General features: G+C 34.3%; 1 long non-coding RNA gene and 1 other non-coding gene across 3 annotated transcripts in view, besides 1 other annotated feature; one reads left to right on the forward strand and one right to left on the reverse strand.

Moving 5' to 3' along the window:
- Positions 1-534: 534 nt before the first annotated feature.
- Positions 535-22,728, forward strand: part of LINC02445 (long intergenic non-protein coding RNA 2445) — an 87,521-nt gene continuing 65,327 nt past the window's right edge. Inside the window, exons 1-3 of one of the 2 annotated variants that reach the window (XR_007063369.1) lie at positions 535-597; positions 2,554-2,638; positions 9,494-9,625. This is a non-coding gene — a long non-coding RNA (long intergenic non-protein coding RNA 2445). Of the gene's footprint in view, positions 690-2,553; positions 2,639-9,493; positions 9,626-22,728 lie in introns of both variants that reach the window. The other variant, XR_945092.2, reaches the window with a different exon arrangement.
- LOC124900319 (U8 small nucleolar RNA) lies at positions 6,157-6,291 on the reverse strand. The gene has a single exon (XR_007063622.1). It is a non-coding gene; the product is annotated as a U8 small nucleolar RNA (small nucleolar RNA).
- Positions 11,366-12,565: an enhancer, noted in NCBI's record as "CDK7 strongly-dependent group 2 enhancer chr12:74163268-74164467 (GRCh37/hg19 assembly coordinates)". NCBI's record gives its function as "activates an origin of replication core promoter dependent on BRD2, BRD4, P300/CBP, MED14 and CDK7 cofactors, with strong dependence on CDK7, by STARR-seq in HCT116 cells {active_cell/tissue: HCT116}" and the evidence as "EXISTENCE:reporter gene assay evidence [ECO:0000049][PMID:35650434]".

The raw sequence follows: 22,728 nt of genomic DNA on the forward strand, positions 1-22,728 counted from the left end.
ATACATATGGTTTCACTTTAAAATGTCCTTGATAAAGCATTAAAATGCTAATTTTATTAAAACTCATCTCTTGCTTGTGCATGTAATAGTCTTTGTAATAAAATGGGAAATATGTAGAAAGCAGCTCTGAAGCATACCACTCTATCATGTTTGTCTTGAAGAAAAGCACTATACAATTACTTGAGCTGCAAGCTGACTACCTGCTTTATTCGTGCAACGCTGCTTTACTAGAAAGACTCACAGACAAACTGTGGTTATTGAGGCTGGGTATTTGGTAGACATTTTCTCTAAAGTGAACAACAAGAGTTTCATTTAAAAGAAAATATCTTACTGTGTTTGATAAGAAATGTGTCAATCTTTGGAATATCTGCATAACTCAGTATACCAATATTTTCCCAATGAACAAAACCTCAAGGAACAAAACCATGCCTGGGTATCTGCCCCATTCAAAGTACAAAATGTAATGGAATAGAGCATGAAGAGTTCATTGTTATGAATTTACATTCCAGAATGCGACAAACTTCTAAGAAGTTACTACTTGTCATAAATTGATGCTAATCTTCCCATAGTACAGAGGAAGACAAGTAAATTTTATATGTAAGTGTTATCATTTTCATTCATATTAAGAGTAGATTGAATAGGCAAGTGGACTTCACATGTAATCACTGTTCACCTGAAAGCCTATACAGGTATATCATCATTTCTAAGACAAAATTGATTATTTTTGGTAGATGTGATACTATATTTAATTAATAAATTAATTACATTGTTTATGAAGGGTATGTCAATTTATCTTAAAAGCTATAAAAAGAAGCATTGAACATATGTAGTACCATATAATTGATTTATTTACATATATTTTATATTTTGAAGTTATTTGATTAGAATCAATTACACCTGTTTTAGTATTCACATAAGAATTTGTAAAAGATATGCTATCCATTAACTTTCAGGTATATAACACTAATTATCTTAAAATTTCAATATGTAAAAGTGTTAAGATGTTTGTTAAATGCAGATTTTTAGGTTGGGTACAAAATGCATAGTCCTCTTTATGAGAATAACTGCAAGATAATTCTCATCTCACTTTTTTTGGAACAATAACAAAAATATGGCTTTATGAGCAGTTGGATTTAATTTTAGCATATTGGGCGTATTTAGTCATGTGGTTGATCTCTTTATATTTTTAAAGTTCACATCACCAGAAATGGGGCTTCTCAGTAGCAAATAGGTATAAAATTATGGAATGCAATACTATCTTCGTTTCTGAAACTACTTGATATTTATTTTATTGCTGTACTTTTGGGACATGCATTGTGTTATTTTTTAATTATACTTTGATTGCTTTTTCTTTTTTTGAGAAGGAGTCTTGCTCTGTCGCCCAGGCTGGAGTGCAGTGGTGCAATCTCAGCTCACTGCAAGCTCTGCCTCCCGGGTTCGTGCCATTCTCCTGCCTTGGCCTCCCGAGTAGCTGGGACTACAGGCTCCTGTCACCACGCCCAGCTAATTTTTTTTTGTATTTTTTTTAGTAGAGATGGGGTTTCACTGTGTTAGCCAGCATGGTCTTGATCTCCTGACCTCATGATCCGCCCACATCGGCCTCCCAAAGTGCTGGGATTACAGGCGTGAGCCACCGCGCCCAGCCGATTGCATTTTTAATTATACAGGTTACATAAAAGTCCATTTTCATTGTAAAGAGAATAGAAAGGTATATGTTTGAAAGAGGGAAACTTCCATTTACCCCACACTCCAATTTTCTTTCAAAATATCTAAGTATGTTACATTCAAATATTTTTGTTATTAATCTTTGTTTTTTAAGTATTAAAAAGTGAAGTTTCCAACTTTTTAGAAGTGATTTAGATACATTTATTTCAAAAAGTATGTAAAATTTAAAATTTAGAAGTATAAAAATAAGATATAATCACAAATTTTCACTACCACAATTATTATTTTTAATAGTTACTGTCCATTCTTCTAGTAATTTTCTTATTAACAGTCTGTTGTATAAATGAGCCCATGCATGCTATCTTTCTTATGTATGAAAACAAAGTACTATTTGAAAACCTATTCATATACACATACAGTCAGATTTCTCAACACACCCACTCTGGTGTGTTTCATAAAAGCCACCTCATTCATGAGTTTGTGCTGAATTCTTCAAGCCCAAGTAATACACTGCCTCACATCTATTAATTTATGTTAATATTTAATGTTTAATATGGTTTTTCATTGGTATAGGGAAACACTCTCTGGTTTATATTTTAATGCTACTTTATTTTTTAGAGACGTAACCATGTTAATATATTTAATTTATTTCTTTTATTCTCAATAGTACATGTATACCATTCCTTTACTAATGGAAATTTTGAGTTATTACTAACTTTTGTAGTTTCAAACTATGCTTAATAAACACGGTTGTTCAGATTCTTGATCCAAAGGATTTTTTATACTTTACTAGAAATTAAGATCCTGGATTATAAGGCAGACAAATTTTTTATTAAATTACATACAGCTGAACTATAATGAAATATAACATCATGTGTTTTATCCAAGTACTATTTGAAGAACAGAGTTTCTAATCATTTTCCTGCTGCATGGAAACATTTGCTACTGTTGGACATATTACCTCTAATAGCAGGTAATGGGTAAAGAAAACATACATTGTTATTTTCATTTGTACTTCTGTATTTTCTCAGGTCACTAACAAAATTACATTGTCTTGTTCACTAAAAAGATGTTTTACTTTTATTTCTTTTCTTTTCTTTTTTCCTTTTTTCTTCTTTTTTCTTTTTTTCTTTTTTTTCGACAGAGTCTCATTCTGTTGTCCAGGCTGGAAGGCAGTGGCACAATCATAGCTGCTCACTATGGCTTCAAACTACTGGGCTCAAGCTTTCCTCCTGCCTCAGCCTCCCACCTAGTAGCTGGTACTGCAGACATGCATCACAATGCCCAACTACTTTTATTTATTTATTTTTTTGTAGAGAGGAGTTCTTGCTATGTTGCCCAGGCTTGTCTACAACTTTTAGCCTAAAGCAAAATTCCCACCTTGGCCTCAAAAAGCACTGAGATTACAGACATAAACCACTGTGCCTGGCCTATAATGTTTATATTTTACTGTGAATATGTTGTTTGTTTCTTTACCAATTATTTGTGTATCTGTCTTACTGATTTGAACATTTAATTTTTTGCTTACTTCTTATAGTTATATATATTGGGCACCCTTTGCAAGACTATTACTAAAATGCTAATTTTGTTGATGATGTCTTTCTGATACAATGTATTTTTCATTTTCTAGCAAGCAAATTTATCAAAGGCTTGATATTTCCATCTTTTAAGAAAATCAAACCTACTCCAAGTTGACAATACTTTTTACATATTTTTAACTTTTTTTGAAAAAAGAAAATTAAAAATTATTGGAGCAATTTTACGCTTACAGCAAAAATGAGCACACGGCACAGAGATTTTCCACATATGCCCTCTGATTCTAAATGTAAACATTGCCTCTCCTATTATTAACATCCCCTAACAGAGTGGCACGTTTATTACAAGTGATGGATCTACTTTAAAACATCATTATCACCCAAAGTCCACAGTTTACATGTTTACATTAGGGTTCACTCTAGGTGCAACATATTCGTTTTTGTACATACATTGTTGTGTGCTTATAACTTTTAAATTCCTTTGGGTAAATACAAATGAATATAATTTCTGGATTATATGGTAAGAGTTTGTTAAGAAATTGTCAAATTTTATTCCAAAATGGCTGTACCATTTTACATTTCCACCATAAATGAGAGTTGTTTTTTCTTCACATCCTTGCCAGCATTGTTTTTGTCACTATTCTCAATTTTTGTCCTCTAATGGATGTGCAGTTATATCTCATTGTTGTTTTAATTTATATTTCCATAATACTAAGCATATTTCCTATGTCTGTTTGTCATCTGTAGATTTCTTTGCTGAGTTGTCTGTTAAGGTCTTGGCTATTTTTTTTAAAATCAGGTGGCTTACTTTCTTATGTTGCGTTTAAGTGTTCTTTTTGATAATAGCCCTTTATTATATATGTGTTTGCAATGTGTTTGTGTTTCCTCCCAGTTTGTGGCTTGTCTTCTCATTCTCTTCACTGTGTCTTTTATAGAACAGAAAATTTTAATTTTAATGAAGTCCAGTTTATCATCTTTCTATCATGGATTGTTCCTTTTGTGTCATTATTTAAAACATCATTGCCAAATTCAAGTCCATCTAGATTTTCTTATGTTATCTTGTAGGAGTTTTATAATCTTGCACTTTACATCTAGGTTTGTGATATATTATGAGTTAATTTTTGTGAAAGGTGTAAGGTCTGTATCATCTTTTTTTTTTTGGTATTGTAAAAAGGAAAGTAGAGGTTCCTCTTCAAAGACTTTCCTCCCAGTCTAATTGGGAATAAACAGTAGCTTCTCTTAGAAGCAAAATTTATTCAAAGACATGCGCTAACATTCTTAAATATCTGCTAGCTGTCATAAAGAAATCAATGTACTTTATGTTCTTAGCTCCCACAATTTAGCCTAAATATTTGCCCTGGCATGCTTATACCGGTTCTAGCAAGCATTAGGTCACAACCTGTTCCTATTCCTTATTTGAAGGTGTTTTTACCTTTCTCAGCATTCAACAAGTTACTTCCTCCTTCCTTTGTTCTCCTATGCCTTTGCCTCTTTTAAAAAGTTCTAAGTTGCTAGCCAATCAGCACAAATACAGAATGTGAGGTCCCGTTCCCGCCAATGGAAACCAGACACAGCAGTAAGGTGGATGCGTCAGGTTATAAATGACCCTGTCTCCTTTGTTCAGTGTACTTTCGTGGCAAAACTGCTGGTGAGTGTAACCTTTCTGCAGAAAGTAAAAATGGCCTTGCTGAGGAAATTAAATTTATGTTCAAATGCTATTTCTTTATGGCACCAGGGAACAAGCATCTCTAACAGTATGTATGCCCAGTTGTTTACAGCAACATTTGTTGAAAAAGACTATCTTTTTTCCATTGTACTGTGTTCATTGTCAAAGACCAGTTAGCTATATGTGTGTATCTATTTCTGTGGCTCTATTGTGTTCCCCTGATCTTTTTTTTATTCTTTTACCAATACCACAATGTCTTGATTACTGTAGCTGTCTAGTAAGTCTTAAAGTTAGATAGCATAAGTCCTCCAATTTTGTTCTTCTTCAATATTGTGCTGGCTTTTGGGTCTTTTGCGTCTCCATATAGACTTTAGATTAGTTGTATTTTTGGAGTGTTTCAGAAGAATTCATATTAATTATTATTTAAATGCTTTGTAGAATACATCATTGAAGCAAGTCAACAGATCCTGAACATTTTTATTTGGTGAGAGATTATTATTCACCGATTCATCTCTTTATTCATTATTAGTCTGCTCAGATTTTATATTTCTTCATGATTCAGTCTTGGTAGGTTGTATGTCTTGAGGAATTCATTTATTTCCTCTCAGTTATCTGATATGTTGGTATATAATTTTTATAGTAGTCGCTAATGATCCTTTGTATTCTTGTTTTATGTATTAATAGCCCCATAAGTTTTAGTATTTTGTGTTTTCAATTTCATGTGTCTCAAAATATTTTTAAAATTTTTCTTTTGATTTCTTCTTTGACCCTTTGGTTGTTCAAGAGCAGGTTTTTAAATTTCCACATATTTTAAATTTTCCAGTATTCCTCCTATTGTTGATTTCCAGTTTCATGTCATTATGGTTAGAAAAAGTGCTTGACATAATTTCAATCTTGATTGAAATGTGTTAAGACTTGTTTTATGGCCTAATATATTATCTGTCTTGGAGAATGTTCCATGTATATTTGAGAAGAATGTATATTCTGTTGCTGTTGAATGCAATATTCTCTACATATTTGTTAGGTCTCTTTGGTGTAAAATTTAGTCAAGTCCAAAGTTTCCTTATTGATTTTCTGCCTTGATGATTTATCCATTATTGAAAGTAGTGTATTGAAGTCCCCTACTATTATTATATGGTTGTCTATTTCTTCCTTCAATTTATTTTTGTGTGCTAATGTTGGATGTATATATATTTACAATTGTTAAATCCTCTTAAGAAATTGGGCACTTTATCATTATATAATGACTTTCATTGTCTTCTTTTTATTATATCAAAATCATCAGAAAGAATGAGATAGGAGCAATCAGGATGTTTCAAGTCGTGATTATGTATAGATGTTGATCATGTTTCTTGCATCTCCAATAATCATGTTATAATCTGTCCTCCAAAAGGAAGAACAGGAAAAGATTATCCCACCTGATGATCATTATTTTCTGTTAAATTTTTTTACTTAAAGTCTATTTTGTCTAAAATAAATATAGCTATCCTGCTATCTTTTGGTTTCCATTTGCATGAAATGTATTTTTCTATTCCTTCATTTTCAGCCTATGTGCTTTCTTAAAGTTGAAATGAGACTTTTGTAGGTAATGCATAGTTAGGGCTTATCATTTTTACACATTCGGCCTCTCTACTTTTTATAATAAAAATTTCTGTTAAAGTTAGAAGCCTTGGCCAGGCATGGGGGCTCACGCCTGTAATCTCAGCACTTTGGGAGGCCAAGGCGAGTGGATCACCTGAGGTCAGGAGTTCGAGACCAGCCTGGCCAACATGATGAAACCCCATCTCTACTAAAAATACAAAAAAAATTAGCCAGGAGTGGTGGCATGTGCCTGTAATCCCAGCTACTTGGGAGGCTGAGGCAGGAGAATTGCTTGAACCCCGGAGATGGAGGTTGTAGTGAGCCGAGATTGCGCCACTGCACTCCAGCCTGGGTGACAAGAGTGAAACTCCATCTCAAAAAAAAAAAAAAAAAAAGTTTGAAGCCTCCTGGCAATTTAAGAAAACACACTTGTGTTCATATAAAATACGGTTTAATCCAAAATGACAGAAAAGAAAATACATAAAAGTAAACCTACTCACATATTTCTTGTCATCTTCTTACTTCCCATTTTCAAAGTCTATGTTAAATTTATATTTACAAAGTTCTACAAAATCTAATGTTTTGATTAAATTGCTTAACTCAACATTTCACTATTAAAATTAATTTTTTATAGATAAGAAGTTACGATCATCATTTTGTCTATCCTGGCTGTTTTATAGAACCTCCAACAATTTGTCAAGTATGGTTCAGGTTTTTCAGCCCACAAACTGAGCAGGTTTCCAGAAGAAGTTTCTGCTAGTGGGTTTTTGCCCTGATAGGTTGTGAATCTCTGTATTTGCCTATTGTTCTCTCCAGTTTGGGGAGCAGCAGTTTGTCCCATAACCTCACTTGTCTTATAGATGCAAGAAAAATTATGGATTGTTTTCTGTTTATTTAGCTTCCTACTTGTTAGGATAGAGTGGCAACTACCAAGTGACTTACATGTGAGGCCCCTATATATTTTTAAAAGTATGTTTTTCAGGCTGGGTGCCAGTGGCCCATGCCTGTAATCCCAGCACTTTGGGAGATTGTGGCAGGTGGATCACTTGAGGTAAGGAGGTGAGACTAGCCTGGTCAACGTGTTGAAACCTCATCTCTACTAAAAATACAAAAATTAGCCCACTGTGGTGGAATGCACCTGTAATCCAAGTTACTTGGGAGGCTAAGACACGAGAATTGCTTGAGCCTGGGAGGGGGTGGTTGCAGTGAGTTGAGAGTGCACCACTGCACTCCAGCCTGGGCAACAGAACAAGATTCTGTCTCAAAAAACAAAAACAAAACAACAACAACAACAACAAAATATATATATATATAAATATATATGTAAAATATTGGTTTTTCAATTATACATCTTAAACAATAAGATTATATTTTAGAATAAACTAAGCAATAATGATTAAACTTCTTTTCCAAAAAATATACTGATATTTACCTTTCTCTATACAATTAATTTTAAATTTTATTTATTTCCAATGGATCTGAACCAACATACACTGTACATAAATGACTAATATGTTTACCACAGTATTTTGTTCTCTCACTTTATTTGCCTAATACCTTACAAAGAACAAAGAGTTATAATTAACATACATTTAAATATGTCTTAATAACTAATTAGTATCATTCACTTAACTGCCGATTTTATTTTATTTTTTGAAAACAAATACCATTATTGAGTCTTTATAATTTCATGGGAATTTTATACAGTAATTCATTCTTTAAGTTCAATGAATAACATAGTTATTTTATAGATTGCCTGAAGTTAGAGATAAATTTGAGAGACTTTAACATATTTGTAATACTGATGTTTTACCTACAGAAACAGGAAATCACTCATTATTTATCCATTTAGTCAAATATTCATTAATGTCTTTCAATAATAATTTATGTTTTGGTCAATAAAGGTCTTGTATACATTTGTTATTATGTTTAATTTACTCCTAAGCACCCGAAGATTGTTTGCTGTTTTCTTATTTCATTTTCTAATTACCAATCCTATATAGAAATTCTTCTGACTTTTAAACATTAAACTTGAATTCCAATCAGATAACTTCATTAAATGTCATTTTATAAATGTCACATCACTTTATCAAAAATAAGTATCCACATTTTCTGTTTATTATTCAACAAATAACCTTTTGATTTTTATTATGGGCATGACATGTGTTAGGTACTGAAAGAGACACACACATGAAATAGAGATATCTTTAGTGATGCCTCACTAGGGTGTTACATTCAGTTCAGCCTGAAGTTGACTCCTTACATATTTTAATTTCAGCCTAAAGGTTTCCCTGTACATAATAAACTGCAACCTAACTGGATGCATAAACAGACTATAACCTACTCTCATGTCAATCACCGAGTTTCAGCCAACTAAGGGTGGCCAACTGTTCAAACCATGTTCAAATAAAGCAAATACCAAACTATATCTGGCAGTTTCTGTACCTCCCTTCCATTTTTTGTATGTCACTTTCTTTTTTCTGTCCATAAATCTTCCACCACACAGCTCTGTTACTGGTGGAGGGTCTTGACTAGGAGTTGTCCAGGTTTTCAGTGTTTTTAACGAAGAATTGGACAAAATGCATGAAGAAAGAAACAAAAGATGAAGCAACAAAAGCACAGATTTATTGAAATAAAAGTACACTCCACAGAGTGGGAGTGGGCTTGAGTGAACTGCTCAAGAGCACTGGTTACAGAATTTTCTGGGGTTTAAATACCTTCTAGAAGTTTCCCATTGGTTATTTGGTTATACCCTAAGTAAATGAAGGAGCGGCCAATGACCAGTCTGATTGGTTGCAGGAGGTGACCAATCAGAGCCTGAAGTAAAGTTACAAAGTTACACCCTATGCACATGAAGACTGGTTGTAGGAGTGGACCAATCAGACATACTTTCCATTTTTCATCTGAGAGGCAGTGGAAAGGGGTGGGGGTTGCAAAGACAGTAGCTTCTGATATTTTTGTTCCTTGGGTATGGAGAGTTGGGGTTTTCCTTTTGATTCAGTTCGAGGAAGTCAGCATTAACTGGCCACATGTTCCCTGTCTCCAGACCCTATTCTACTGCCTCAGCTCCACTGGAGTCTCACTGAGCCTACTCTGGCTTTGGAGGTGCCAAGTCACCAAGAGAGATTCTCAGAGGCCCATTGCATCTATTTCTCTCTTGCATCAACTGGGCATCATGGTAAGTTCTCTAGTGGATTCCAAAGCTCTGCAGATTTGTGTTTTGAGCTCTCCAAGTTTGAGCAAATTTCTGATCTAACCTGGGTTTGGAAGTCATGACAGACTGGACTGTTTCCAGAATTGGATTGGTTCTGGTAATTAACCGGATTAGATTCAGTTTGAGGCCTCTTATGTCTGACTGGGTCAGATAGAAACTAGTAATAAATGGCAATATTGCAGGGGCCGTAAACTTCAGCTTTTGAAAATTTGCAGGGATTTTTGTGTTCTACCTGCTTTGTTTATTTTTCTTGTGTGCTTAGCTAGGGAAAGGTCATTTCCTAGGTTGATCAAGGGGATCTGAGAGCCAAAGCCAAGATTCAAGGCAAAAAATGGGATCCTTAATTTCTAAAGAGCTGAGTAATCTGCTTTCCAGCTATGCCTAAATTTACATATATAAACGTTAGGCTCGGGAAGTGGTACACACTTAGCGAAATAGCAAAATCTTACTGAAGATAATTTAAAATTACAGTGAAACATTCCAAATGAATAACACTGCACTTTAAGAAGTGCAGTGGAAAATGAGGACTCTCAAATTAGACTCATACAGGAATGAGTGCAGATAGATATGCAGAAGCTTCTAAAAAGATTTCAATACTTTTATTCCTTTTTAAAAGACTCTTTATAAAAAGAAAATAAAAAGCTTACATGACTAATTGATAAGAAAAATTAAATCTGCTAACCTATGGCTTAGTTACAATCTAGCCCTGAATGTGAAAGAATCCTACCCTGAAGTGTTTATAGAAGATACGCCCTCAGGTAAAGTAGGCTTGCTTCCTTTTCTGATCTATCCATGCTGATTTTAGGTATGGAGAATGCTTTCTTTGCCTTGTTCTTTAAAATTGACTCTACCCTAAACCCAGTAATTTCAGCTAAATTAAAATACCTAAAAAGTTAAAATGCATCCTTCTGGCATTTAACTGGCTATCTTGAAAATACTTTTGCAACAGAAATGTACAACTTTAAAGGAAATCAGTATTTGTATGGGCATCTCTGTTTATACACTTAAACCACCAGGAACTTTATGAGGAAGACAATGGCTTAAAGTTTACATAACAAACTTTGCCTTTGTTTAAATCTAAGTTCTGTTTCTTAGAGGAGTAAATTTTCTACACTGTTTCACCTGAGTCCCTTCTTTGTAGATGTAAATTTTGAGCTGTCTCTCTAACAATTGTTGATGGCATGAAACAAGTAATCAAGAAATTGATAGTGGGGAGAAACTTTGGAAACTGGCAAATGAAGAATCTTGTAACAAATCTATAAGATCTGCTTCTGTCTGTATGTCTGTTACGTCTATATGTTTATCTGTTATGTGTATGTGAAAATATTTAGTGGCCATTGTGAGACATGGAGACATATTGAAACCATCTTTGCAAAATTATGACTGAAACAGTTAAAGCGATCTAACTTAATCAACTCCATCTTGCTTCTAATCTCCAGGCTATCCTTGTTGATTCCTAGGTATAGGCTGAGTTAACTTTAGGAGAAACTTAGCTTCTTATAGGAATTCGGTGAGGGTGGTGGGAAAAATTGTAGAAAGATGCAAACTTTCTTGGAAGGGTGGAAGGTTTTACAAAAGCATTGTGAAAGGGCTATGGCTGAAGGCAGTCTGATCCTCTTACCTTGAGCTAATAGTAAAAAGCAAATAACAAGGGAATGTAGGGGAGTTTATCTAAATAGCTTATTTACTCATGTGGTCCTAAGACCGACCTTTGATCATCAGCAGGCACATGACTGCTCTCTACTCGGGGCAATGTTAATTACCCTCTAGGGTGTTTACTCTACACATTTGTCATTTAACCTGTACTAAATAAATGCGAACTTTGCCAGCTTATTGAGGCCACTGCGGACTCTGGCAGCAGAGCCCGTTAGCTGTGCTGACAGGCAAAATATCTGTGTCAATGTATGTCTTTCATCTGCCGCTTGGTCAGGGTCTGTAGGTCAGACTTGGCAGTTTATAGTTTATATTTTAAACAAAGACAGTAACAGCTGTTTCCCAAAGCAGACCTCCTCCTTCTTGCCTGGAAACTAGATTGCCTTCATAGGACTAACAGTAGCCGCAAGATTAGAAATTATGATTTAGGAGTCATATAGCTGGAGGCTAGAAGATTCTGACTCTCCCTAAACTGCTCCTAAGATTAGTGCTTGAGATATTTTGCAGCCCCTGCACTTGTTAGATCAGCTGGTACCACCCAGATCAATAAGCTGGCTCTTCTGATCTTCTGGCCCCCACCCAGGAACTGACTCAGCTTGAGAAGACAGCTTTGACTCCCTATGATTTCATCCCTGACCAATCAGCATTCCTGACTCACTGGCTTCCCCCCATCCACCAGGTTATCCTTAAAAACTCTGCTCCCTGAATGCTTGAGGAGACTGATTTGAGTAATAATAAAGCTCCGGTCTCCCACACAGCCAGCTCTGTGTGAATTACCCTTTCTCTGTTGCAATTACTCTGTCTTGATGAATTGGCTCTGTCTAGTCAGTGGGCAAGATGAACCACTTGGGCAGTTACAATGTCCTCAGTGCCTAGACAAGCAGCTGCAATGCAGAATCAAGCCAAGTATGGCCCCTTCTTCCATGCCTCAGCGTTGCCTCCTGGCTATTTTAGGAGGGGTTGAATCTTCCAGGCATAGTCTTCACAGCTCTGTCTTTGAGGTCCTGAGCTCTGCAACTGATATGTAAATTCAGGACTCAGATAGGCCCTGACCTTCACTGGTATCTGGGATGCCACATGGCCACCTGAGACCCAGGATTACTGAAAATGACATTGGGGAAGGTACTTGTGTCATAGTTTCAAAGTTATTTTTAGTAATTCAAAATCTTAAAGTCATGTTATGGTAAATAATAAAATATCTGTTATGGTAAATAATAAAAATATCTGAGTCATTTGTAAAATACTAAATCATCAATTATTTAAAACAAGTTGAAGTTTAATATCTTGGCAAATTATTTTTATATGGCATAGAAAAGCTAATTATATTTAGATCTGTTAATAAACAAAATTTTATAAAACATTTTTCTATAAAATTATAAAATGGTTTGTTCTACAAATCCTGATATATAACCATTCAAAATTACTTCCTAGGGATTTTTTTTTAATTAAGGTTACTAAGAGTTAATGTAGTTAATATGTATAATTAAAACTATTAGATATAAAAAAATCTTTATAGAGAGTATGCAAACAAAAACAAGATATACTTTTGATTAGAAAAGTTGTAAAGGCCGAAAAATGTGTGTTTGTTAAAAATTTTTATCTAATTTGAAGCTAAAGGTTGTTTCAGATAGAAAAAATAAAAAGTATTTAAGTAAAACCAAAACATAAAAAGTTGAAAAATTTTAAATTATAAGATATTACAAAAGGCATAAACCTTTTGTATTATCGTAAGATAATCTGGTATGGCCAAAATTAATAGAGATTTAATTAATTTACTTACACAGTTTTACTAAAATTGACTTTATTGATTATATATAAATACAAAAGTAACATGTATTTTTCTCTGTTGAACAAAAATTACATGTAGTGTTAACAAGTGTGAGTAAAATACTTCTGTTCACCTTTTGAGTAAATTGTAAACAATAAAAAAAGAGTAAAGATAGAAAAAGAGGCAGATTCTGTCTCATTTTAGCTGTCTCAGTATTTTAGAATATTGAGAAAACTGAGTCACCTATTAAAGCATGAAGATTTTTGTTTTTAAAAATCTTTTAACACTTTGGCAAAATGAATCACTATTATTTTATAGTGACCTGTGATTCTACTTTGATTAAGTGTTTAAACCTTTTGTTGTGGTCTTTCTGCTCCTTAGCTTAGCTAGGTCTGAGTTCTTATCTCACAACCAGGAAGACTTAGGTGCACAGACCCTGGAGAGTGAGTGGAGTAAAAATTATTCAGCAAGATGGAAGCTCTCAGCAAAGAGGGAGTGTGGGGTGTGGTTCCCCTACCCAAAGGTGAGAAAGTCTCCTGCGTGGCTGGGTCCAGGGCCTTTTACGTACTCAGAATAGGGAGTTGCTGATTGGTTTGTGAGTATTCAAAAAAAGGTTAAAGCAAAGATACCACTTAAAGGTGGGCACAACAGTATAGAACACCAATTAGGAAAGGGTAGGTATACTTTAAATAAATGAAGGATGGGTATCAATCAGAGGAAACCACACCAAACAGTAAGAGAAGTTCTCAATTCAGTCTGAGGGTTTAAGTTTTAGCTTGGCTTTCAGGCTTTAAACTGTCTTCAGCTTGGAGGTGGGGTTTCACTAGGGATCCTTCCCTATCTGCTTGGGCATTTGGCTTCCTCCTGCCGCTCTCACTTTGACATATTTGAGAGACTTCCAAAAATCAAATTTCAACCTAAAAAGTAGGTCTTTTTTTCAACTCTAACTTTGGAATGCTACAGAGGGCCCCTGAAGCATCCAAAAGAGAGATAAAAAGTATTATTTGATATGTTAAATTATATGAAATGCATTGCCAAATAATAAGTGATGTTTAATCTTCTTTGAATTATATTTTATTAAACATGTTATTCATATATGTTCAAAAATTATATGGGATTCCTAAAATTTTGATATGTTTGTATATGCACTATCAGTCACAATTATGGTTATTATGTTAAATTATTATAGGCCATAGAAATAACTAAATTTTCTTACGAATTGTACCTTTAACTATGCCCATTTAAAGTCATTTCCACAGTTGATTGCTTAATTTTGATGCAATTTCTGAAAACTTCACAAGCAAGCAAAATCCTAGAATATTGTATCTTTAAGGAGGTTTATGAAAGGATGAAAAAGATTCTGGAAAGCACTCTTGTGTAAAGTTTTTGATAACTTTAGGATCATATCATTTAGACTTGGTAAGGATTCCCAGAACACCAATAAAAGGATAGACTGGTTTATAAAACTGGTAATCCAAGTGGTATAAGAATTAATTGAATGCCAAGAAAATACTTTGTCACATTTTCATGTTAAATCAGCCAGTACCAAAATTGTTAAGATGGGCAATTTGAATGAATTCAATGTTCCAAGTCAAATTATCTATGATAACCCATCTAAAAAAACAATGCTATGCACCTAAATTAGAAAAAACAAAATTGATATTTAGGATGTATGCCCAGGGTTAAGCATGGATCCTTGGAGAGCCTTTATGGCCACCTGGTCGTTCCTGAGTCCTTAAATCTTCCATTACTAAAAGCTCTGAATTTCATGACTCATCATGGAATGGGGTAAAATAGTCCAAAATATATGTAAATATATATTTGTGGTGACTATTTTAAATTGCTAAAATAATTTATGACCAATGTTTGGTTTTACAATCCCGTAATACTGGGCCAACGGTCAAAACTTTAGGCATATTTTTGCTACCTGATGGCTCATTTAAATATTTACAAAGGAATTGTATTCAGTTGTCATTTCAATGCATATTTCTGTTTTTATAAAAGTTTTCTGATGCAAGAGAGCTGATGTTATAACAGTAGCTACAAGGTTATTAGGAAATATGTTTTCCTCATGGGACATTCCTGGAGAAATCTCCAGTGATAAAAGTACTTGTTTCACTAGACAAGTTGTAAAACAGTTAAGTAGGATATTATAAATACAATAGCATTAGGCAAAGCTAGCTGCATTGACTGTATTGCCTTGGTAAAAAGTATTGTAGATTAATGGTAATCAGATCCACTTCCAGGGGAAGATATAAGTTGATCTCAAATGAAATAGTCACTGGAAGGTCTATGCACCAAATAATAGAAACTCATGTATCTTCCACTCTTAAACTCTAATATAGCTAAAGGCTTTAATGCATCATGCCAAAGTGTATTTTAACCAGTGAAAGAAAGCTTTTTGTGGTCCACTAGCTGAAGATAATCAAACTTTTCACAATCTAGGACCTGGAGATTGGGTCTTCTGAGAATGACATTAGAGAAAGACCACCCTTGCCATCTATACTGCAGCAAAATGTCCCGGACCTTGGACCTTGGGTTTATAATCTCACAACTCAGAAGAGCTCTTCCAGACTCTTGAAATTATATCCCTATCAGAGACCTTAAGATAAAGCTAGCCAGGAACATTTCTCCCTAGAAGTAGATGACATCCCAGATGTGAACAGCCTTTCCCTAAGATCACAAGTCTTAACTTCTCTGCTATAATGAAACTCTTATCTCTCAATTTTTCCATTGCCTAGGCCTCTATGAATGTAGAACTGAATAAGGGGTCTCTTGTGTGCACTCATGGGGTATACTTTTATTTTTGGAGGATTTCACAACCAATTTTATACATGGATAAACTTACACCTTGACAGATGGAAGAGGAAAGGCCAATGAGGGCAAGAAATTTTAATAGTACCTTTGCTGCTTTATAATCAGTCAGAAAAAGAACATTGATCCACTCCTGTTAACCTACATCATAGGTGAAAAAGAACATTGCCAGGAGGCCTTCACTCTTCTGGATGGGCATAATTTTTTAGGTCTCTTTCTTTATGGTTTGGAATAATTGTGGCAGTGATTAGAAATTTATCCCTCATAATAGGCTCTATAGAAGATTCTACTGAAAAGGCTGTGGTAGCACAATGTATTTTAAGTTCTCTTGCTAAAGTTGTGCTATATAATAGAATTCCTGTAGATTACTTGCTGCCTAAACTGAAGTAGCTGTGTAGTTACTGATGCTTTTAGTTGCACATAGAGAAATACATCAGGTATTATAGAGATTCAGCTGTAAAGAGATAATGAACAAGCTGCTTGTTTAAAATGAGTTGACTCTTTAGCTCATTCTTTGATCCATTTGATTTTAGTTGGTTTTATTCACAGGGACTTTTGCTAAGGAGCATACTCCAAACTCTTGGTATTATCCTCTAGAAAATCATAATAGTAGTCTCCCTGGTGGGCTATATTCTTGCAAAAGTTTTAAATATTTGCATGAGGCCATCTCTAGGATGACAAATGGTATGTCTTTGACTGGAATGACAAAAACTCAAATAAACGTGTGACCACGAGGATACAGTAACTTCTGAATGACATACTGAGACTAGAAACCCCAAATAATGGTAACTGAGGGTGGCACTATGCCCTAAGTTTTTATTACACTGTCATCTAAGAGATAACCTGACCTGAAGGTGGGAATTTTTTAATAAAATTATGGGACGCCATTGTTTTGAACTGAGCTCATGTGCTAGGCCCAAACAGACAAGACCAAACCAAAGTCAAGTCATCCATGCTAAATGTGACATAATTAAACTGAAACTTTAAGGCAAAAGATAGATCCTAAAACAAACCAGCCTTTTTTCTCTCCAAAAAACAGTTGATTCTAGCACAGGAAGAACCCGTCTACTCTAACTCTTACAAAAAATAACTTGAAGTCTGTATTAGTCCATTTTCATGCTGCTGATAAAGACATATCCAAGACTGGGCAATTTACAAAAGAAAGAGGTTTAATGGACTTACAGTTCCACATGGTGGAGAACCCTCACAATCATGGAGGAAGGCAAGGAGGAGCAATCACGTCTTACATGGATGGCAGCAGGCAAAAAGAGAGCTTGTGAAGAAAAACTCCCATTTTTAAAATAATCATATCTCATGAGACCCATTCACTATCATGAAAGCAGCATGGGAAAGACCTACCCCCATGATTCAATCATCTCCCACTGGGTCCCTCCCACTACATATGGGAATTATGGGAGCTACAAGATGAGATTTGGATGGAGACACAAAGTCAAACCATATCAAACCATCTTTTTTCCACATTACAAAAACCATTGTCCTGTTATTTCCCAGTGGAATTTGACACCAAATAAGTACATTTATGATGGTAACAGAGTGACATCAATACCTAAAGTTTTGGTCTATCTCTTAAAATTGAGAAGATGACCAAAAGGGTAATTGTAAAATTAAGTTTAGCCTAAAGCTGCATCCTTACATATTTTAAGTTCAGCCTAAAGGTTTCTCTGTATATAGTAAACTGCCACCTAATTGGAAGCATAAAGAGAGTATAACCTATTCTTGTGTTAATCACAACATTTCAGCCAATTGAGGGTGACATACTTTTCAAACCGTGTTCAAATAAGGCCAAACTGTAACCAGTCTGGCTGTTTCTGTACCTCACTTCCATTTTCCATAAATCACTTTTCTTTTTTATGTCCATAAATCTTCTCCCACATGATTGCACCGGACTCTGAGCCTGCTCTGGCTCAGGAAGCTGCCTAATTCATAAATTGTTCTTTGTTCAATTAAACTCTACTAAATTTAACTCATCTGAGGTCCTTCTTTTAAAAGAGAGATAAGCAAGTCTGATGAAAGAAATTTCAACATATCCTCTGCTCTCCTACTTTCTCTTCTGTCAGAGGATGACTAAAACAGGACATTTGATTGAGATTGGCACTTGTTCCCCTGGAGACATAAAGAAGTAACTGATAATGATTCTTAAGAAGAATAGTCCCCTTGGTAGAGAAAGGGATCACCTTAGCACAGAAAGGAGGAGTCATTAGTTAAAGAGCAGGAAAGATACCTCTATAATCTGACAGCCTTTTCTTAATACTGATTGAACACTCTACACTATCTCTAAAACAACCTTGTTAAGTGAAAGGGCAGGCTGTCATCCTCCATTGGTGATAAAACTCAAGTTGGAAGAGAAAGTCAAATAAGAAGATCCAGATTTTATTTTAGCTGCGAATTAGAGACTTGATATAGGGGATTAGTGCACCTGGAGCTAAGAATGTTAACATTTATAAAGATTTCTCGACCCACACTTGGGAAGTTGTATGAGATGGGATGCAGAGATGGGGTTTGTAGAGATGAGTTTGTAAGCCAAAAATAAAATCCTAAGCCTCCCAACTGACTGGATCTCTGGACCAAAGGAACCAAAGAGAAACTGAAAAACTGAATGCCCAGCCATGATGGAAGGGGGGTCAAATACACCTTGCTATACTCCTTCCCTTTTTGCAGTTTAAGCACAAATGACCAGCATTAACTTTAAAAGAGATATTATAAGACTGACAGAAAAGACTCTCTGGCAATAAAATACTAAATTCAAACATGACTCCAGTATAGCGTCACATGCCAGATAGCTGACCCTGAAGGAAATCAAAATATTTTACCCCAAAATATGTTTGATATATTTTGAATGGCTCTGCAAAGCAATATTTTGTGGGAGAAATTTCCATCTGTAGGGAATCTCCATTAATATAGTCAGGCCTTTCCTGGATCTAGGAGATACTAAGAGTCTGATACCTTTCGAAAGGAGGCTTTTAGTATCTATTCTCTCTGTAGCCTCTTACCTGGAGGCTTCATCTTCATAACAAAAACCTTGGCCTCCACAACAACCCCTATCTTAACTCTTGCATTTCTTTCTACTGACTTCAAGTCTTTAGAGAAAGCTTAACTCTTTCAACCAATTGGCAATCAGAAAATCTTTGAATGTATCTGTGACCTGTAAACCCTTCCTCTTCAAGATATCTCACTTCTTCGGGCCAAACCGATGTATACCTTTCATGTATTAATTTATAATTTTACCTACAATTCTCATCTCTCTAAAATGTATAAAACTAATCTGTAACTGGACTGCCTCTGGTACACTTTTTCAGGACCTCTTGAGACATATCCTGGGGCAGGGTCACTCATATTGGCTCAGAATAAACCTCTTTAAATATTTCAAAGAGTTTGTTGTTGTTGTTGTTGTTTGTCTACATGGTGACAGAACTATTCTTGTGACAGGGATTTTTCACGATAAAGGATTTCTAAGGAGTGACTACATGCTTGCAATACAGTAAAACTGAATTTTGCAATTTTTTTTGTGTTTTATAGAATAGCTGTCCATTGAAAGGGGAGGACTGAGTTTCTGTAAACTCCTGTATTTTACAGCAAATTAGTAAATGCAAAATATTTGCAGAAATTTGTTATACAAACTTGAAATACAGAGATGAGGAATGTGGCTTCTGCCACCATGGTGCTCAGTTTTAGCATAACATGCAGAGTAGAGGTATTATAAAATATGTAATAGATATTACATATATATGTTCAGTGCTGTAATAAATAAAAACACACAGGGTGCTCTGATAACACAAAGGAGAGCATTCAGTCCAGTCTATAGCACTATGTTAGTTTGGGTTAATCCAGGAAACTACACATAATATGTAACCACTAGGCTCTGACTTGAATGGTTCATAGTATTTAGGTGCAGAGGGAGCAAATGCAATTTGCAGATGGAAGAAAGGAAAGTTCTATTAAGAGAAAGGCAATTGGTTATATTCTAAAAATACAAAATTTACAGCAATGATTTTATAAATTGTTTGTACTCAGTTTATTATAAAAAGGGTATATTCCTACTTAGTCCTCATTGAGTCTTTACACTTGGTCACACAATTGGGTATGGTGAACAAATATTTTATTTTAATAATGTTACTAGTCATATATTTTATGACCCTAAGCAGTTACATTAAAACACCATACTCTGTTTACACTCTTCATATTTATGGAATTCATGGCATATTTATTTGGAGATATGATTATCCTTTAAATAAATGATGCATATTATAGTTTTTGTGAATGGCTCTTGAAAGATTTCCTATTTTTGTATGTTTGTGTTCTACTAAATTCATCAACAAAGATATTTTAAAGCCTGTATCTCTGAGACATGATATAAGTGACTATAAAAAAATTATTCCAATGTCTTTATTACTACTTAAAATTTTATGCTTATAAAGTAATTACATGTCCCACTGTTTTGGTCCTTAGATTAATAAAATAAATTTTAACATGTCTAATTAAAAGAAGAAGAATTTTCTTTCAGTCTATATTTCTAATCTTCATAATTGATTTAAATTAATGAAAATGAAACACTGAAACCCAAAACAAATACCAAAATGAAACCTTAATCTTTATTTTATTTATGTTCCTTTAATTTCTGGAATCATGAACTTTAAAAATGGCCAGTTTGCTATATATATATATATATATTTTTTTTTTTTTTTTTGAGACAGCCTCTCACTCTGTTGCCCAGGCTGGAGTGCAGTGGCATGATCTCAGCTCACTATAAGCTCCGCCTCCCAGGTTCATGCCATTCTCCTGCCTCAGCCTCCCGAGTAGCTGGGACTACAGGCGCCTGCCACCACGCCCAGCTAATTTTTTGTATTTTTAGTGGAGATGGGGTTTCACCGTATTAGCCAGGATGGTCTCAATCTCCTGACTTCGTGATCCGCCCGCCTCGGCCTCCCAAAGTGCTGGGATTACAGGCGTGAGCCACAGCGCCCGGCCTATATAAATATTTTCAATATACGTTTATCCTGACATTTTTAAAAATATAAATTTCTGTTAGAGTAGAAGGCTTCTGACTATTTAAGGAAAACATCATTCTATTTATATAAAATATATTTTAATTGAAGGTTTAAGAAAAGGAAATACATAAAAGTAAACCTCACATATTTGCTGTCATCTTTCTTCCTATTGTCAGGCTGCATTAAATTTGTATTCACAAAGTTCTACAAGATCAATGTTTTGATATGTTTGTTCAACGTTTCACAATAAATGTGACTGATTTGATAGCAAATAAAATTGAATTTAAAATTGTGAACTGCCAGTCATCTCAAAGATTACTTGACCTTTTTATATTATTTTATAATATAGTTTAATAATGTTTAGACCTGTCTTCTGTTTCTTTTTTATTATGTATAGAGAGGTCTAAGTAAAATTTTTTTCTTTCCAGTTTATACTTTGCCTCATTATTTTTGAACTACTATTTTTTAAAGAAAACTGTCTCCAATTCCATCTTTAAAACAAAAAGGAACGATTGCATAAAAGTAGAATAGTAAAGATTTGTGATGGCCCCTTTTGATTTTAATGCTTTTTAGGAGACCATGAAGAGCTAAAGTTCATATGTTATGAATGCTTCAGACAATTGGGTTTTCAAAATATAGAACCAAAATGTTAAAGATATAACATCTTAAATCCACACTGATATTAACCCTTAAGACATATGGTGGCCCTTTGATTCTGGGTTTTATAGATCTTTGTACCAAAGATAATTTTGACATGGAAAGCTATATTGTAGTTGGTTACAAACTGTCCAGTCCCTGGCGTATAATAAACTGTTCTCTACCAGATAGAATGCATGTTTACAATACTCAATTAATACATCTGGCAGACTTTAATTGCATTAGCTTTGTCGCACCAGAGGTGGCATAACTTTCATGTGACATAATTAGGTTTGCTCAATTTAAACAGACACATTAATGCAGCTCAGCAAGGCTCAATTAAATCTGTTTCAAAGCAAAATCACAATGTGAGGCATTGTGGGTAATGTTATGCAAATTATCATATTGGCAGAGAAACTGAGTAAGGTTTCAACAGTGCCTATTGGCATAAAATGAATTTTTCCATTTGGAATATCAAGGCAAAAACAGTAAGATGTCTGTGTTGTAATTTCCCTTTTTCAGGGCTTATCAAAGTGGTGCAGCTGTTGACCTAGTCAAATAAATTGTTTTGTCACTTTGGTTTTCTTTAAGTAATATTTTAAAGTTTTCATGATAACCAAAGTATATATTGTTTCAAAATCTAAACACAATTTGTCTTCTTCTAGGCACCAGACATAATCAAAGATTAATCTTTATTAGTCCTCCATTTCCAATAGGGGTGTTGATTAGTAAGTGAGGTAATACAGATCTAACCTTATTTAGATACATTCAGTGACCATTCTCAATGGGTGGCAACTTTAATTTGTTTGTGTAAGTCTATGTGTAATACTGCTAGGCAGTTGAAGAAAATATTCTTACTCTAATTAAATATATGAATATTACTAAAATTATCCATCACATGCCAGGAATATTTGCAATGATAACATTTTAAATTGACTTCATAATTGAAATGTCTAATAAGAGGATTCTGATTTTATTAAGTGTTTGAATTTTTAATATGTTAAAAATATAATTTATATTACTGGAATTCTGGTGTGATTATAAGAAGTTATCAATTTTTATTTTCTCTGTATCATATGCACACATACAAACATATTTAAATAAATATATTAAAATGTATAAAACATTTATAAGTAAAATATGTATTAAGTATGTAAAATACATATTGCACAGTCTCTATCATATATGCA

The sequence above is a fragment of the Homo sapiens genome, chromosome 12, assembly GCF_000001405.40.
Source record: "Homo sapiens chromosome 12, GRCh38.p14 Primary Assembly".
Classification (NCBI taxonomy): domain Eukaryota; kingdom Metazoa; phylum Chordata; class Mammalia; order Primates; family Hominidae; genus Homo; species Homo sapiens.